This window comes from Homo sapiens, chromosome 20, assembly GCF_000001405.40.
Source record: "Homo sapiens chromosome 20, GRCh38.p14 Primary Assembly".
NCBI classification, from domain to species: Eukaryota; Metazoa; Chordata; class Mammalia; order Primates; family Hominidae; genus Homo; species Homo sapiens.
In genome coordinates this window covers 5578324-5597985 of record NC_000020.11, presented here as the reverse complement: position 1 = coordinate 5597985, position 19662 = coordinate 5578324, and the positions used below count along the sequence as shown (strand labels likewise).

At 37.9% G+C, this 19662-nt stretch overlaps 1 protein-coding gene across 1 annotated transcript in view, besides 1 other annotated feature; it reads left to right on the top strand.

Annotated features, from left to right (window-relative positions):
* The window catches only part of GPCPD1 (glycerophosphocholine phosphodiesterase 1), a 66568-nt gene that overhangs the window by 13021 nt on the left and 33885 nt on the right, over positions 1-19662 (top strand). The window contains exons 4-8 of the mRNA NM_019593.5: positions 4575-4659; positions 11717-11792; positions 13664-13705; positions 17855-17978; positions 19375-19606. Coding sequence (NP_062539.1) covers positions 4575-4659; positions 11717-11792; positions 13664-13705; positions 17855-17978; positions 19375-19606 — 559 coding nt within the window. The remainder of the gene's footprint in view (positions 1-4574; positions 4660-11716; positions 11793-13663; positions 13706-17854; positions 17979-19374; positions 19607-19662) is intronic.
* Positions 4469-4763: a silencer, noted in NCBI's record as "tiled region #4324; K562 Repressive DNase matched - State 5:Enh". NCBI's record gives its function as "represses a minimal TATA promoter and a strong SV40 promoter by Sharpr-MPRA in K562 cells {active_cell/tissue: K562}" and the evidence as "EXISTENCE:reporter gene assay evidence [ECO:0000049][PMID:27701403]".

Genomic DNA, 19662 nt, shown 5'->3' with positions numbered 1-19662 from the left:
AAGAGATCTAATTTTTGTATTTGCCTATAAAAGTATTTCCTTGAAGTATGTGGTGTTAAAAGGAGCAGAGAGTGGAACACATACTTAGATAGCTTAGCTAATATGAAGAAATGTATTCACTAGTGGCATTGAATCCATCAGTAAACTTAGTATGGGCACAGTGGATGGAGAAAGGTAAATCTGGGTGTCAGCCACTCTTCTGCAGTTAAGTGTGAACTTGGGCGGCTGATGTCTGTAGGCCTCAGTTACCTCATCTGCATGATAAAAAGGGGTTAGCATAGATGAGTGGATGTCAGCAGAGGTGGCACTTACCCCACTGTGGATAGTTGGAAGTGTTATAGGTTTTCCTAAATAGCATACAAGTATATCCAGTGCCCGATTAGGTGATTGCTAAGGCTCTATTTTCCTGTAGAGCAGCATGTCTTAAAATGTGGCCTGTGCACCAGTACCAGTCCAAAAGACTTTTAAAAAAATCAATCCATGATGTGAGAAATACAAAAACTGAGAGCAAGCATTTAGAAATGTGTATAGCAGTTTGACTCCATGCATGTCACTGTGGACACATCTCATTGAACTGGGTATGTAGATCAGAATATTGGTCACCAGACAGGTTGAGTAAAGCAAACAAAAAATGCTGGTCATTCACAGCAAATAGTTTGAGGAGCACTGGTGGTAAAGCAACGGAAAATAACAAAGGAAAGTAAAAAAATAACAGTAATGTAAGCTAGGAGAAAGAAAATTAAAAAACACAGAACTCCCTTTTTTCTAGTTTGTCACTAGTATGACATATTTTCTCAGCCAATTCTCAGCTCTCCTTATAAGAGTTCTGTTGGTAAATAGTATTACTTTAATAGTATATATTCTTTACTAGTCTTTCACAGACTAGTATTTCCTTCAAGTGGCTATTTTTTCTTCGATTTTCAGATCAGCCACTCTGGTCTGAAGTGAAACCTCATATCTTTCTGAACTTGTCTCTAAAACACACCCCTGCCTGTCCTAAGTCAGTTTCAGCCAACTTGGTCAAAAAGATGTGAACAGGATAAGACACTTAACAATTTTAAGAGGACCAGTTGTTCATATGTTGTGCATGTACAATGAAATAGAATTGATTCACAGGTAGCAGATAAACAGTGTTTCACAGGGAGAAGGGAGTAGATACACAGGAATCCATGTGCCTTTAGACAATATTCGTGAGTTTTAAAATTGTGTTTCTTTGGAATTTTAATGTGCTCTGCATCTAAGTCTGCTGTGCCCCTGTCTTTCAGGGAGCGTCTTAAGCTTTCTCTTACCAGCTCTCCCTACCCACAGGCTCATGGCAGCTAGAGCTCTCCTGGAATTTTTTTCTGCTTAGAGAAAACTTGAAGGTCATGGTATTGTTTCCTAATACTGCTGAAGATGTGGGTCACTTGTGGTTTCATTTGCCCTCCTTGTAGATTTTATGGTATTTTGGGAAAGGATATAAGGGCAATTCAGAATTAGGCAGCTGCACTAAACCACCATATGACTACCCGTCTTTCCTGGTTTTGATTTAATTTCATCAGATTATTTTGTCTTTAGTTCACCAAATAGTTCTGATTCTTTTTTTAAAATTTTTTAGACAGGGTCTCATTCTGTCACACAGGCTGGAGTGCGATGACACGATTTCGGTTCACTCTAACCTCAAACTCCTGGGCTCCGGTGATCTTCCTGCCTCAGCCTCTCGAGTAGCTAGGTGTACACCATCATGCCCAGCTCATTAAAATTTTTTTATAGAGATGAGGTTTCACTGTGTTGAGACCTAGGCTGTTTGTGAACTCCTGGCTCAAGCTGCCCTCCCGCCTCAGCCTCCCAGCGTGCTGGGTATAAGCCACTATGCCTGGGTTCTGGTTCATTCTTAAATTTGCCACATTTGCTTAGACAAGTGGAGTAAAAAGACTCACTGCTTTGCCTTCTTCATCTCTTGTTTTCATTTAGTGGTTCTTTACCAGGGATCGCATTAGAATCACTTGGGAGGACTTGAAAAAAAATACACATACCTAGATCCTGCTCCTGGAGATTGAGAAATAATGGCTGAGGGAGAGGCGGCAGCACGTTTTTCACAGCTTATTAGTAATTCTACTCTGCACTAGTGGGGCTAGTTTCACATGCTCCAACTGGCTGTTTTGGAGATGAGGTAGTACTGGGAATTTGTCCCCCCCCCTTTTTTTCTTTTTGGGGTAGCAGAAATGGCAACTTTCTATTCTTAATTGGAAGAGTCCACCTGGAAACCTCTGTTGAAAAGGATTCTGAGGCTTATTGGGGAAAAATAGGGAACATGTGTCAAGCATTTGCTATTCTTTTTTTGTTTTTGTTTTTGTTTTTGTTTTGAGATGGAATCTCACTCTGTCACCCAGGCTGGAGTACAGTGGCGCGATCTGGGCTCACTGCAACCTCAGCCTCCCAGGTTCAAGTGATTCGCCTGCCTCAGCCTCCTGAGTAGCTGGGATTACAGGCTTGTGCCATCTCGCCTGGCTAATTTTTATATTTTTTGTAGAAATGTGGTTTCATAATGTTGGTCAGGCTGGTCTTGAACTCCTGACCTCATGATCCGCCCACCTCAGCCTCCCAAAGAGTTGGGATTACAGGCGTGAGCCACCACGCCTGGCAGCATTTGCTATTCTTGCTTTAAAGCAGTGATTTTTACTTATTTATTATTTATTTATTTTTTATTATTATACTTTAAGTTCTAGGGTACATGTGCAGAACGTGCAGGTTTGTTACATATATATACATGTTCCATGTTGGTTTGTTTAAAGCAGTGATTTTTAAAAATGTACATACCTTAATTAAAAAATACTTTATTGCTAAAAAATGATACAATCATTTGAGCCTTTAGTGAATTGCAATCTTTTTGCTGGTGGAGAGTTTTGTCTCAATGTTGATGGCTGCTAACTGATCAGAGTCGTGGTTGCTGAAGGTTGAAGGACAGTGTCAATTTCTTAAAATAAGACAGTGAAGTTTACTACATTGATTAACTGTTCCTTTCATGAAAGATTTTTCTGTAGCATGCAATCACCATAACAGATATAATAATAACAAAAAAGTTTGAAACATTATGAGATTTGCCAAACTGTGACATAGACACGAAGTAAGCACATGTTGTTGGGAAAATGGCACTGATAGACTTGCTCGACTCAAGTTTGCCACAGACCTTCAATTTGTAAAAAACACAGTATCTGTGAAGTATAATAAAGTGCAATACAATGAGCTATATCTGTATTTATTTTAGGAGCTAAGCTTGTATCAGAGTAAGGACAATGCCCTAAAACCTGTCTTAGCAGAGCCAGGTAGGGCTAAACTACTCATGCTGAATTAACGTTTGGTTAATGGTCTATGACAGGGGTTCTCAAAGTGTTTATAAAAGTTACCTGGAGGCGGCCGGGCCTGGTGGCTCATGCCTGTAATCCCAGCACTTTGGGAGGCCGAGGCGGTTGGATCATGAGGTCAGGAGATCGAAACCATCCTGGCTAATGCGGTGAAACCCGTCTCTACTAAAAATAAAAAAACAAAGTTAGCCAGGCGTGGTGGCGGGTGCCTGTAGTCCCAGCTACTGGGGACGCTGAGGTGGGAGAATAGCATGAACCCGGGAGGCGGAGCTTGCAGTGAGCTGAGATCGCGCCACTGCACTTCACTCTGGGTGACAGAGCAAGACTCCGTCTCAAAAAAAAAAAAGTTACCTGGAGGCTTGTTAAAATACAGGTTACTGGGCCCCCACCCCCAGAGTTCCTAATTCAATAAGTCTGGGTAGGGCCTGAGAATTTGCATTTCTAAGAAGCTCCCAGCTACTAATGATGGTCTGGGACCATGCTGTGGATAGCACTAGTTTATTATTTGAAGCTAAAACTCAGTTACAGTAATGAATTGTAGTGAATTCTTGACCTTAAGGCAGCTGTTGAGTCAAATCTTTAGTTTCTGTTAGAATAACATAGTTCAGAGAAAGACATTGGCCTGAAACAAGATACAGGTTCTGACTGCTTGTCTGAGGAATAGCCAGAGCCTGGGTAGGACAGCTTAGAATAACGGATAGTCAAGAATAGGAGTGTAACTCATGTTTATCTCTCATTTGTGACACAAAAGCTGCGACCCAAAGTCTCTTATCAGCCATGTAACATCCCTCGCTAAGTGGGAAGTCACAGAAGATTCTGACTCTGGCTTCCACTTTTGTACAACTTGAATTTTCTGTTTGGAAACTTATCCTGGCTCTTTATATGGCTGGTTCCTTCTCATCATTTAGACCTGAGCTCAGACAGCGCTTCCTCATTAAAACCTTCCTTCCTTTTAAAAGCCTCCTCCAGAACTTCGTTCTGTCTATCTTCTTTGGTTATTTTTCTGTCTACCCACACAGCAAAGGAAGCTCTTTGAAGATAAGGCTCTTTCTGCAGTATATACCCCTGTGTTCCCATTGCCTGCTACAGAGTAGGCCTGTAAAATTTTGTGTAGGAATAAATAAGTGATATTGGTCATACGTTTTATTTGAGGAGTTTTGTGAATTAAGAAGTCTTTATGCACTGTAGTTTGATATTGATGCTGCTGCTTTTAATTTTCTTTCTTCACAGCATGCTATGGAAAGCAACCATTGTACTCAGTAGAGGAGTATCAGTTCAGTATCGCTACTTCAAAGGGTACTTTTTAGAACCAAAGGTATGTTTTCTTTATCTAGTTTCCAATTCCTTTAGCACTTCCTTCAAAAGCAACTCACTTAAGTTTGAACACGTTCAAAGTAAAATGCATTTGCTTTGGTCAAATAAGGAATAGAACTCTTGATTAATAAAATTTACCAAAACCAAGGAAGTAGCCACTTCAGAGGCAGATGATGTCTGCCATGGAATTTTAAAAAGACATAGTAAGTATGTTCTGCAGTATTCTTATGAAATTGGTTTTAATGTGTTCTCTGTAAGTGTGCATTTTCGGTAACTTTTGTAAACTAGTTAGGAACCACTTGCAGAGCTTTTACTTTTGGTTTTGTTTTTTAATCCTTATGTGATGTAAATACATTTAGAGAAGTATATAGCCTGTTTTAAGTGAGTAATTAAAAAAATTATTTCACAGCAGCCATCTCTTAGTGGCTGTGTTAACTCTGATCAAAATTTAATTGATTCCTTTTAGATTTTTTCAAAGATGTTATTGATAAGACCCCTATCTTTTCTGGAGGCCTTTGGCATATCTATTCTAAATTTGCCTGTTCACAATTCATTATTTTGGGATTGTTTTCATATTCAGAAAAGAAAAAAAGTTAATCATTTTCCTTTTATTCTAAAGATACTTATTTGCTGAAAGGATTCTTTTCCTTCAGACTTTTACATTTGACACCCTTGGGCTGCATATGAACAAGGGTTTAGGCAGGGGTCTAGGATACAAATCATGGATTAGCTCTTGTTAAAAAATGTATTTCCTTTGGGAGTCATTAAGTGTTTTTGTTACGTGTGAAAAATGCAAGCAGCCACTGTTACCTCGTGCTCTTAGCCACCATTATACAAAGAAAAGAGACAAAATGACAAAAAATGACAAACCCACTTTAGCTGTCTTTTGCACCTATTACGTTTCTTGTTCCAAGAATATTTTGTGAATACACAGTAATTGAACTTAAATTACATTGTGGTTGATCATTGTGTTGGCTTTTCTTGACAATAGTTTCACTTTAACTTAAGAAAAGGGCATCTCATTTATTTGGCATGGGGTTATGCATCATGGTAAAGTTCTTTAGTATAACTTAAGCAATTGTGTGTAGATACATAGGTCATAGATATGGAAAGTTTACCTGAGGATCCTGGTATATGAAATTTAGCTTTGTAATATGTGAAACCAACTAAATTTTACTTAGGGGAGTTTGGATGAGAAAGATGATAATGAGTTCTTTGGGCATAGTTTTCTAAAGTAAGACTATTGTCAACACAGGTCAAATTAAGCCAACCTAAGTATTTATCCTCTTCATTGAAAATGTTACCAAAAGCAGCAGATCAGTCCAAAATACCTTTTGAAAAAATTGGCAAGAAGTCTGCTTAACAGTAAAAACAAGTTTTTCTCCTTGTAATACTTGCAAAAGTTTACAGTATGTGTTGGTGAGTGTGTTTCTTTAAGTAGGTGCTCTGTATCGTGTACACATGTACCGTGTGATGCAGGGGCTGCCATGGTAAGTATGTTTTTCATGGAATCGAGTAAATAGCTACATAAAATCCCATGCATATGGCTACAGTTTTTTTCTCCACATGCCAGCTTAATGTGACACTTTAAAAAAGTTGGTGGCGCTTTTTAAATAAAACATTTTTAATAGAAGTATTATGAAACTTTGTCTAGTTGTACATTGTCAAATAATAGAAGTAATGTGCAAGGCATCTTAAATTGTGAAATGATGTAAATTATTGGAATACATAATGTTACGAATATAAAGAATGATAGGAAAACAAATAATGAAAGCATTAAAAAGCTGAAATGGGAGAAAGGTTAATTTTACTGTGTTGAAAGTTTTAGGAGGTAATCTACCCAGGCAGTTTTGGAACCAAAGCTAAAAGTTTTGCGATTATGGACAAGCCAGTTGACCTTTAGGCTTTAGCCTCCTCATCTATAAAACAAAAGGTTTGAACTACAGATTTTTAGATCCTTTCATTGCAAAATTTTATTGAGTAAATGAAATTTTACCATTCATTTTTCTTCCATGCACTGCTTTTTCTGGCATATTCCTTTTAGTTTAGAAGAGTCCTGAAATCGTTTTTCTCAGTTTTTCACAATGACGTGTTCTCTTTGTGAATTAAGATAAGGTGTTAATGTGTTACATTTTAAAATAATTTCACAGATGACAAAACAAAATAGTATCTTATTTGAACATAGCACACAAAAGTAGTGAGTATTCCTGGAATGAAAACATTGGTATGAATCTGCAGGTAGTCCACTGATGTCACATCTTCACCAAAGATACTTTCTGAATTAACATGTAATTTCAACTTTTTTTTTTCTGTATCCACCCCTCTTTGCTTGTGGGTAGAATTAGGGATGTTTCCTCATAGTCAAATGTTAGCCAGTTTTTCATTGTATCCTTTGAAATTTTTCCTTCATTTTTGTAGAAATACATCTTTATTTTTCAGCACATATCTATGTTTCTAACTTTCATAGCTGCTAACATTCACTCATAATTAGATTCATTACAAACTATCTTATTTTGACCTCGATCTCCCTTGAGTTTTAAGTCCTTCCTTTAACAAGACAATCAGTCACCTGCGATAGATAATTATTTTCAGAATAGTCTAGTTTGTCATTTTGTACAATAGTTTATTAGTATCTAAAATTCTTCTGAATAGTAAATACTGTCAGGTGTTAACTTGAGATTTGAATACTCTCAGAGAGTCTGTTGGCCTAGCTTCCTTTGCTTTACTCATGCCTAGGTGACTGTTTCTTTTACTGGTTGTACTAAAAATAGAGATTTTTTTTTTTGAGACAGAGTCTTGTTCTGTCGCCCAGGCTGGAGTGCAGTGGCACGATCTCGGCTCACTGCAACCTCCGCCTCCTGGGTTCAAGTGATTCTTCTGCCTCAGCCTCCAAGTAGCTGAGATTACAGGCATGCAACCACTATGCCTGGCTAATTTTTATATTGTTTTAGTAGAGACAGGGTTTTGCCGTGTTAGCCAGGCTGGTCTCAAACTCCTGACCTCAGGTGATCCACCCGCCACAGCCTCCCAGAGTGCTGGGATTACAAGCAGGAGCCACCGCACGTGGCCTTGATTCCTCAGACCCCCTTTTACATTCAGTTTGTTTTCAAAATTGTGGAAGAAAAACAATCAGTAAAAGTTTTAAAAATTTGTGATATATGCAAGCAGTGATATTACATGGCTAGCTAATAATTTTGCTTGGTGATTTGTTAAAAAACAAACTTCCAATCTACATATTGGATAGTCTTATTTAAATTTCAGTGCTTGGTATAACTGAGTGATGTCAGTAACTGTTTAAGAAAACAATCATTAAGACTTATTCTTGTGGGAAGAAATTTTTAAAAATATTTTTGTTAATATACATGTTTGGAAACATTTCTACAGTCGTGTGACATTATGTATGCTAAATTGTGAAATAGCTCTACCAGTACTGTTAATGGAATATTGTCTTAGATTGACATCATTACTTTTTTCTCCAAAGATCTATCTCCCATGTTACTCCAAAAAGCTTAAAATTTTGGCAGACTTTTCCAGAATGTTTTGTTTCAGAACTGTTTCCTTTTCTTAGATCTTAAAGAATAAGTTATTACAGATAATGTATTAGAAAGTATTGCATGTACAATGAGACCAGGATTAAAAAATAAATGAAAGGATTGCATGTTTTGGGGTTATCACTGAGATTTTGAATTTCCCAGTGCTCAGTTGTTAGTTTTTATTTATTTTTTTGAGATGGAGTTTCGCTCTTGTTGCCCAGGCTGGAGTGTAATGGCTCATTGCAACCTCCGCCTCCCAGGTTCAAGTGAGTCTCCTGCATCAGCCTTCCGAGTAGTTGGGATTACAGGCATGCACCACTATGCCCGGCTAATTTTTGTATTTTTAGTAGAGATGAGGTTTCTCTATGTTGGTCAGGCTGTTCTCTAACTCCCGACCTCAGGTGATCCACCCGCTTTGACCTCCCAAAGTGCTGGGATTACAGGCGTGAGCCACCACGCCTGGCCTGTTAATTTTTTTTTAAAGAAGTAAAGCTGAAAATTTAAGATTGCCTTCTAAAGTTTAATAAAGTAGGCTTAACAATTTTGGAAATTCAGTGTATTTTAAAACTAGGTTCTTTTTTTTCTATATTATAACAGTTTACCAACCAATGTACATTTCTAGTCTGAATGATGATAGACATAGTTCTGTCATCAGTTTACCTGGCCCTTTGGACTGTTCCTCAAATATGCTATTCTATTCAAGTCTAGGTGGTTTTATGCAGTGGGGTAGTGGGCAGATGAGACTGGAGTTGTTAAAATTGCTACTGAAATATGTTCCCTATCAAATTTAATCCAAAGGATTATTCTTACTTGATTAAGTAAAGATACTGCTATCAACAGTCTATAAAGTTCCCCTGACATCTGAATTAAAACAAAACAAACAGTCTGCTATGCCGTTACCTCTTTTTGACATTTAATATTATATTCATAGCACCCTTTTCTTTTTCTTTTTTTTTTCTTTTTCTTTTTTGAGACATAGTCTCGCTCTATCGCCCAGGCTGGAGTGCAGTGGCGCAATCTCAGCTCACTGCAGCCTCCGCCTCCCAGATTCATGGGATTCCCCTGCCTTGGCCTCCCAAGTACCTAGGATTACAGGCGTGTGCCACCATGCCTGGCTAATTTTTGTATTTTTGGTAGAGATGGGGTTTCACCATGTTGGCCAGGTTGGTCTCGAACTCCTGACCTCAAGTGATCTGCCTGCCTTGGCCTCCCTAAGTGCTGGGATTACAGGCATGAGCCACTGTGCCCAGGCTGTTTCTATTTTTATGTATGTATTTGCGACTTTTTTTTGAGAAGGAGTCTCACTCTGTCGCCCACGCTGAAGTGCAGTGGTGTGATCTTGGCTCACTGCAACCTCTGCCTCCCACGGTCAAGCAATTCTCGTGCCTCAGCCTCACATGTAGCTGGGACTACAGTTGTGTGCCACCACACCTAGCTAATTTTTGTATTTTTAGTAGAGATGGGGTTTCACTATGTTGGCCAGGCTTGTCTCAAACTGCTGACCTCAAGTGATCCACCTGCCTTGGCCTCCCAAAGCGCTGGGATTATAGGCATGAGCCACCATGCCTGTCCTATATTTGCAACTTTTGAGGTTTAGAAAGTTTGATATTTAAAAAACACATTTAAAAAATATTTCAGGAAAAATGTTATAGTAAACATCATCTAGAATTAATTTGATTTTCTTTTTAGTATAATGGATACGAAAGTCACCATATTTTTAAAAGAGCAATTTCACATTACATTTTTAAAAAATCTACCCAGTCTACCAATTAAGGTGAACTATTATAGCAGGGAAGTGTTTAGCTAGAGAAAAAGAGAATTTTATTTAGTATCCCAGGAGTAATGATTTGAAGAAATATATCGTGCTATTTTAGTTTTTAAACTTCAGAAGTTTGAGGATTTCAGAAAAGAATTTAGCCTGGTTATTTTAAGTGACAGGATTATTTATTGCATTTAATAATTAATAATGTGCCTAATTTGTTACATATTTGTTATTGTTTGGCTTATCGTCAAATTTAATCAATATTAAAATCCTATAGAAAGTGTAGGAGAATATTTTAATCCATTATTAATGCCTTCTAAAGATAATAGAGAAGCTTTTATGCCTAGGCTTTTTAAGAGTATGTATAGGCTGGGCACAGTGGCTCACACCTGTAATCCCAGCACATTGGGAGGCTGAGGTGGGTGGATCACGAGGTTAGGAGTTCGAGACTAGCCTGGCCAACATGGTGAAGCCCCATCTCTACTAAAAATACAAAAATTACCTGGGTGTGGTGGCACGTGCCTTTAATTCCAGCTACTCAGGAGGCCGAGGCAGGGGAATCACTTGAACCCAGGAGGCAAGGGTGCAGTGAGCCGAGATTGTGCCATTGCACTTTAGCCTGGGTGACAGAGTGAGACTCTGTCTAAAAAAAAAAAAGAGTATGTGTAATATAATGCCTAGAAAAGGGCTCAAAGATTATATGTGAAAATCTTGATGGTGATTATCCCTAAATGGTATGATATGGGTGAGTTTTGTATTTTCTTTTTGCTTCTCTGTATTTAATTACATTTATGTAACAAATAAAATACCTTGTAAGATTATAGTTTGAAAATGTGCTTCCAAAATGTGTATTTAAGGGTTTTATTTCAGCATAATAACTAGTGAGTTTCTTTTTAAAAATTAAAGGAAAATTAGAACACTTAAATTTTAGTCTTTTAGGTATACTCAGGGAATCTTTCATGGTTACTCACTACCGCATATGTTATCAACACATAGCTTTATGTTCTTTTTTAGTAGGGGAGCTTGATAATGGAAAACAGTATGAGGAATTGTCACACTGTATGAGATTTTAAACTAAGGCATAAGAATGAAACCGGATGTTAGTTCCTCTTTTATCACACTTGCTCTTCAAGTTTACCTGGCCACATGTCCCTTCTAGAATTTCCCGTGTTCTTTAGAAACACTGGTTCCTATGATATGAGAAATCTTCCTGTTTTTCACTTAGTATTCTTAAATATATGTAATAAATAACTTTATTATGGTTCTTTAGTTCCTTGAGTAGCTTGCGATAATTGTTCTTGAGTACTTGTTCCTACTATTTTTACTATTGTAGGCTTGTTTAGGCTTTTTCTAAATGCATAGAGCAGGAGGTACATACTTTATCTAGCAATACCTCATTGATGGCTGACATACCAAAGAAAGTATATATGATATTTATCTTAAGAATTAATATCAGTTAAAAATGAAAATTTCTTTGAAACAATTGAGTATTGTAGGCAGATTTAGGAATGGGTTTGAGACAGTTCTGTGTGCCAGTTCATCTCATTTTTCTTTGTTTACTGCCTCACTCTAATTTTCTTCCAGCATTTCATCTTGTTTTGTGATCTGGTACATTCCAGGCTTTTGGCATATAATATTGATAATAAGATGAATCTTTTGGTCTCATATTTAGTATAAGATTTAGGCCACAAACATCTAATGGAGTCATGGGTAGAAAATAAGATATAAGAAATTATTGCAGACGTTTAACTTTTAAATTGCAGACTATCGGTGGTCCATGTCAAGTGATAGTTCACAAGTGGGAGACTCATCTACAACCACGATCAATAACCCCTTTAGGTATGGGCATTAACTGCATCTGTTTGAGGCATATGCATAAAGTTACTAATATGCTGCACAATGGCTTAGTGGGATTTAATAAATTTTTATTCTAAAGTTAAGGTCAATGCATTGTCAGTGCTACAAATTTCACTGAGCATTTCATGGATCTTTCAAAACAACAGTTTTTAATTGCCTCTTAAAATAAACTTTATTAGAAATATTTACCTAGATATTTTTGTTTTCTTGGGTTAGATTAGTTTATTATGAAATATTCACTTTCATTTGGAATGGTTAGGAAGTTTATAAGATACCATTCTTCTTGACTGAGCATCCATAGCTCTATTTGTTTACTTGCTCAGGCTTAACGAACATTTGAAGAAAAAATTAATCCAAAACAAAGATTCTTAAATTTTTAACTTTGAATATTAATAGAGTAAGTTATTCTATTTTTTCTTTTCTTCTTAATTTTTTTAAGAGAAATTGGTAAATACTTGAATAAACTTGTATGAATGAATTCAAATTTCTTAAATTCCCTATTGGCTATGCTAGAATTGCTACTTGGAAAGTTTTCTTTTTTTTTTTTGTCTTTTTTTTTTTGTAAGTTGTTTTCTTTTAAACACATTAACTTTTCTTATGCTTAAATATGGCATTTCTCTTCATACAAGTATTTTTGAATTTCTTAGTCCATATTGAAAATCGAATTTGAAGTTCACTTCACATACATTAAATTACCCACATGTATTCATCTGTAAATTGACTCAGTGCTGAGAAATGTATCTTTTAGTTTCTAGGTAAAGTTAAAATTGAAAGATAACTGGATGCCAGTTTTCTGGTTTAAATTAGAAAGCAGTGGGAGTTTCTGCTTTATCCTGGAGTAAGGACACATCTCATTTAAACAGTATCTCATTCCATCCTCTTTATTGGATTTTCTTTTTGTATGTTTTAATACATTTTTGATAGTGTATTTAGGATTTTTATGAGAGTATACTTAAAATTATAATATTCCCATACTGAGGTTGGAACTTACTAGGTATTGAATGTTTTAAAAAATTGTATTTTAAAGCATCTTGCAGTTAAATATATTTTATTATGAGAAGTGGGATGATTTTGTTTCTATCTTTTAGAAAGGAATGTATACTTTTGAGAAATATAACTTTTGAACTTAAAAGCTGTGTGAAACTTACCAGAGAATCTTTACTAGGAACTGTCACATCCATTTTGCAAGTATTTCAGACTAACGTTTAAAGTAAACTGGGAAGGGAAGTAGGCCAGGAAGATAAATTGTATTTTACTCAAAGGGTGGGGTTTTACAGCTTTTCTCATTGAGTTGAAATTTCTGTTAGGAGAAGGGGTTGTGCTAGCGTTTATTCTTTTGGTAGTTCCTCACAGCTCTGTACATACAGGTAAGTTCACGCTGTTCGTAAAGCTTTTAACTGGCAGTAGTGAATAGTTGGGATATGAGGAGAATTACATTTGAGACAAGTTCAGAATATGCACTACATAAGAATAAGCATTTTAATTGTGCCAAGACCTTTGGTTTGAAAATCAAGAAGGAGTTATCGTTGTCCAGCAACCTGTGAGTCTTGTACATTGGTTAGTGTAGAAGTTAATCCCAGTGCCTCTAGAGCACCTTTCTGAAGAGTTTTCTTTTTCTTCTTTTTAACATAATGGACAATCAACGAAGTATGTAAGAACCATTACTGTTTGCTAGCCTCCTTTAAAGGGAATTCTTTATTGAGGGCTACAATAAATATGCTTATTCACCTTGGGCTGCTTTTAAGCTGTAGATTTAATATTATAAACGATCTTTAAGGTGGGTAATTTCTCAGTTGTTCACTGGGTATGCATCAAGAGTTTTAACTAAATTTTCTATTTTCCTTAAATTCTAGAAAGCGAAATTATTATTGACGATGGACAATTTGGAATCCACAGTAAGTGAGACTGACTTACTTAAATGTTTACTGAAATGATTGAGATTGTTACTTTACATTTCACTGGAGTTATATAGCACAGGAAAATAGAACATACAGTCATGTGCTGCATAACGATATTTTGGTCAAAGACAGGCCACACGTGCAGCAGCAGTCTCATATGATTATAATGAAGCTGAAAAATTCCCTGTACTTACACAAACAACAATGAAATCGTCTAATGTGCATTTCTCAGAACTTATCTTCATTGTTAAGCAATGCATGACTGTAGTATGATTTTGAAAATAGAGACTGGATCCAAAAAACAAATCCCTACTGTTAAATAATTAGTTTCTAATATAATTGTTGCACTTTAAAATGTTATCCTTTTGGTTTTTATTTGACTAGCAATTTCAGGTATATGATGTTATATAATTAAAAGTGTGTAGTATACTGAACTGCTAATGTAGCCTTTTACCTCTTTTATGTTTGAAATTACATTAATGTTTCTAAATATCTAAAGTGTGAAATGTTACACTTAGGCTAAGTTTGTGTATTTTGTGTGTTTGTATATCTGCATATACAGTAAAATTCAGACTAACCAAAGAGTTCTAGTAATTCTGGCTGAATGTTTAAAAGTTAGTTTGAGATAGAGTAGAAAATGCTTTAACTTCTGAATATGTTGAAAATGTTATTTGTGTACTTTCTGTTTTAGTAAATACTATATCCTGAGAATTCTAATTTTCTTCAGTGACTGGAATTCTTACCCCCACCCGCCCAGGCTGGAGTGCAGTGGTGCAGTCTCGGCTCACTGCAGCCTCCGACCCTGAGGTTCAAGTGATACTCCTGCCTCAGGCTCCTGAGTAGCTGGGATTATAGGCGCCTGCTACCATGCCCAGCTAATTTTTGTATTTTTTTTTAGTATAGATGAGGTTTTGCCATGTTGGCCAGACTGGTGTCAAACTCCTGACCTCAAGTGATCCACCCACCTCAGCCTCCCAAAGTGCTAGGATTACAGGTGTGAGCCACTGCCCAGCTGGGTGACTGGAATTCTTTTTTTTTTTTTTTTTTTTTTTGAGATGGAGTTTTTGCACCTGTTGCCCAGGCTGGAGTGCGATGGCACAACCTTGGCTCACCGCACTCTCTGCCTCCCAGGTTCAAGCGATTCTCCTGTCTCAGCCTCCTGAGTAGCTTGGATTACAGGCATGCCCAGCTAATTTTGTATTTTTAGTAGAGACGGGGTTTCTCCATGTTGGTCAGGCTGGTCTTGAACTCCCGACTTCAGGTGATCCTCCTGCCTCAGCCTCTCAAAGTGCTGGGATTACAGGCGTGTGCCACCGCACCTGGCTGGAATTCTTACAGTGTATCAGGGCTATTATACTAAACTGCATTCTTTTTTTTTTTTTTTCTTTTGAGATGGAGTCTTGCTCTGTCACCCAGGCTGGAATGCAGTGGCGCAATCTCCGCTTGCTGCAGCCTCCACCTGCTGGGTTCAAGCAATTCTCCTGCCTCAGTCTGCTGAGTAGCTGGGACTATAGGTGAGTGTCATCACGCCTGGCTAATTTTTGTATTTTTAGTAGAGATGGGGTTTTGCTATATTGGTCAGGCTGGTCTCAAACTCCTGACCTCAAGTGATCTGCCTGCCTTGGCCTCCCAAAGTGTTGGGATTACAGGCGTAAGCCACCATGCCCAGCCTGCATCCTCATTTTGGATGCTGTACTGTAGGAGTCAAAAGGTGGAAAGCGGGTGGGCGGAATTGTGTTTGTACTGACTCTGAATCAGAGATAAATTGCTGATAACCAGTTTGCTTTCCTGCTAAGCACAGGAAAGAACAGGCCTGAATGTTTTGGTTGTGGTTTTTATTAGGTATATATGTTTATGTATGGTAGAAATGAACATGCTCTGGCAGTATTTAGATAGGAATTTGACATCTTTTCCTTGATTTTGTTTGGGATTGTTTATATTACATCAGAAAACAGTGTACAGTACTTGAATAGCTTTAGTGTTAAGTGTTTTGGAGTCTTTAGTACTTCATAAGTAATATTTACACTACATGTTTTGGAGTGCTTTATGGAGTAGTAGTTTTTTTTTTTTTTTTTTTTTTTTTTTTTTTTTGAGACGGGAGTCTCGCTCTGTCGCCCAGGCTGGAGTGCAGTGGCGCGATCTCGGCTCACTGCAAGCTCCGCCTCCCGGGTTCACGCCATTCTCCTGCCTCAGCCTCCCGAGTAGCTGGGACTACAGGCGCCCGCTACCACGCCCGGCTAATTTTTTTTGTATTTTTAGTAGAGACGGGGTTTCACCGTGTTAGCCAGGATGGTCTCGATCTCCTGACCTCGTGATCCGCCCGCCTCGGCCTCCCAAAGTGCTGGGATTACAGGCGTGAGCCACCGCGCCCGGCCTGGAGTAGTAGTTTTTGCTTGAGCTGTAATGCATGGTCTCACTTGTCTTTTCTGCAAAAAAAAAAAAAAAAAAAAAAAAAAAAAAAAAGTTAAAGTCCCACAATTATTAAGCATTCTTAAGTTAGGAGAGAATTTCTAAGGAGAGAAGTTTCTTGGTATTTATTTATTTTGACTCTGTTGATGAAAAAGCTTAGATCCAAAACAGTTGACAGCTTCTCTGGTATTTATGAACATTTTATTACCTATGTTAAGTAGGTGAGTAGCTTCAAGTTAATGCCAACAGTGTTGTCACGATCATGCAGTTTATTTATGGCAGAATATATAAATTTGAGAATATGGCTCTGACTCACAGTTCTGTTCTTACCTTCTGATATCTCACACCCCCGGCACTAGTGGCATAACTAGTTGCAGCTGAATATCTAAAGTGACGCTTTGGAAGTGTAACAGTGATCCCTAGTAGAACAATTGCTAGGTTAGATGCTATCTTGTACCATGTGCTCTTTCTGAAATAGATTTGTATTATTTTAGTCATGGATTCAATATGAATATTTTAATTTATTTGTGTTGTGACAGTATAGCTAATTATTAATATTCATTTAATTTTTCCCCCTACTTCATATAAAAGTTATATTTTAATGAAGAATTTAAGACTACCTGTATATTTGCTTTGGGGAGAAGAGTACCAGTGTTATGTAACCTCAATGTATTATTACAGTGTGAATGTGGGCAGGGTGAGGTGGCTCATGCCTGTAATACCAGCACTTTGGGAGGCCTGAGGAAGGCAGATCACTTGACGTCAGGAGTTTAGGAGTTTGAGACCAGCTTGGCCAGCATGGTGACACCCTGTCTCTACTAAAAATACAAGTCAGCTGGGCATGGTGGGCGCCTATAATCCCAGCTACTTGGGAGGCTGAGGCATGAGAATCTCTTGAACCTGGGAAGTGGAGTCTGCAGTGAGTTGAGATCGTGCCACTGCACTCTAGCCTGGGCAACAGAGCAAGACTCTATCTCAAAAAAAAAAAAAATGGAATTGATTCCTTTTAGATTTTTTTCAAAGATGATATTGATAGAACCAGGATCTTTTCTGAAGGTCTTTGGGATATGTATTCTAAATCTGCCTGTTCACAATGATTCATTATTTTGGGATTATTTTCTTTTTCTTTTTTTTTTTTTTTGTGAGATGGAGTCTCGCTCTGCCGCCCAGGCTGGAGTGCAGTGGTGCGATCTCGGCTCACTGCAAGCTCTGCCTCCTGGGTTCACGCCATTCTCCTGCCTCAGCCTCCCAAGCAGCTGGGACTACAGGCGCCCGCCACCACGCCCGGCTATTTTTTTTGTATTTGTAGTAGAGACGGGGCTTCACCGTGTTAGCCAGGATGGTCTCAATCTCCTGACTTCGTAATCCGCCTGCCTCGGCCTCCCAAAGTGCTGGGATTACAGGCGTGAGCCACCATGCCCGCCCGGCCTATTTTCATATTTAGAAAGGAAAAGTTAATTCTTTTTTTATTGTTATTCTAAAAATACTTATTTGCTGAAAGGATTGTTTTCCTTCAGATTTTTACCTTTGTCACCCTTGGTTTGCAATATGAACAACGGTTTAGGCAGGGGTTTAGGAAACAAATCATGGATTAGATCTCATTAAAAAATGTATTTCCTTTGGAGGTTAAAAAAAAAAAGTGAATGTGAACTAGAATTATCAATGCCTATAGGTACTTATTGTGTTGTTTAAAAAAACATGTATAATAATTACTGTTCTTCATATTTATTCTGTCAGATGGTGTTGAAACTCTGGATTCTGGATGGCTGACATGTCAGACTGAAATAAGATTACGTTTGCATTATTCTGAAAAACCTCCTGTGTCAATAACCAAGAAAAAATTAAAAAAATCTAGATTTAGGTATGACCATGTTTATGTGTTACTTAGGCTATTTGTTTTCACTAGTGCTGTAGATTTCAGACTCAATTGGTTTTAGCCTTTAAGTGTACAGTTTGGGATAATGTTACATATTCTAGTAACTACAGGGCTTTGTAATAGTGAACTACTTATCCCCGCTCAGATTGCTACTGTTGCAGTTAGTCTTAATTTCTACATGTAGAACCAGAAAACATTTGTTTATATAGATAAGTGGTTTTCTAAGCTTATGTATTTTTATAGTTTCTATTTAAATTTTCATAGTGTAGCAATAGTTTGTTGTAAAATTGATATAATGTGTCGGGCGTGTTGGCTCACGCCTGTAATCCCAGCACTTTGGGAGGCCAATGGGTGCAGTGGCTCACAACTGTAGTCCCAGCACTTTGGGAGGCCGAGGTGGGCAGATCACCTGAGGTCGGGAGTTCAAGACCAGACTGGCCAACATGGTGAAACCACGTCTCTACTAAAAATACAAAACTTAGCTGGGCATGCTGTTGGGCGCCTGTAATCCCAGCTGCTTGGGAGGCTGAGGCAGGAGAATCGCTTGAACCCGGAAGGCGGAAGTTGCAGTGAGCCGAGATCGCACCACTGCATTCCAGGCAGAGCGAGACTCTGTCTCAAAAAAAGAAAAAATTGATATAATGGAAATGATTGTCTGCTACATAAGAATGCCATAAAGAGAAAATATTTTTTGGAAGTATTCTTCAGTGTTCTAAATTTTATTGTGTCTTGAAAATGAAAAATTTTCCACACAGGAAAAAATTTTTGAATATTATATGTGTTTAATAATATATATATTTTTTCTTTTGAGAGAGGGTCTGGCCGTGTCACCCAGGTTGGAGTACAGTGGTGCAATCTCGGCTCACTGCAACCTCCACCTCTCACGCTCAAGTGATCCTCCCACCTCAGCCTCCCGAGTAGCTGGGACTACAGGCATGTGACACATGCCTGAATAATTTTTATATTTTTTGCAGATGGGGTTTCACCATGTTGCCTAGGCTGGTCTCAGACTTCTGAGCTCAAGCAATCCTCCCGCGTCAGCTTCCCAAAGTTCTGGGATTACAGGCGTGAGCCACTGGCCCAGCCCTAGATTTATTTATTTTTTTTTAATGAAAGAATCAACAACCTTAGTAGGCATAATGGTCATTTATCCCATTTTAATACTTTGCAAAAATATGTGTAGATAATAACATCAGTATTTTATAAAACACACCTAATTCCTTAACCTGTAGTATGTGTAATCTTTGCATAATACATTATTTTTGTTATTCGAAGATTTAGCATATTTGGGGGCACTTTAAAATGTAGAATTTAGGCAACATTTGTATGAGTTTTTCTTTTCTGCCACTTCTTGCATCTCATTATTTTGTTTATTACGTAGGGTGAAGCTGACACTAGAAGGCCTGGAGGAAGATGACGATGATAGGGTATCTCCCACTGTACTCCACAAAATGTCCAATAGCTTGGAGATATCCTTAATAAGCGACAATGAGTTCAAGTGCAGGCATTCACAGCCGGAGTGTGGTTATGGCTTGCAGCCTGATCGTTGGACAGAGTACAGCATACAGACGATGGAACCAGATAACCTGGAACTAATCTTTGATTTTTTCGAAGTGAGTAGTTACTGCAGTGAGGGGATTGAGAAAGAATGCAGGGACAAGCTTATTTT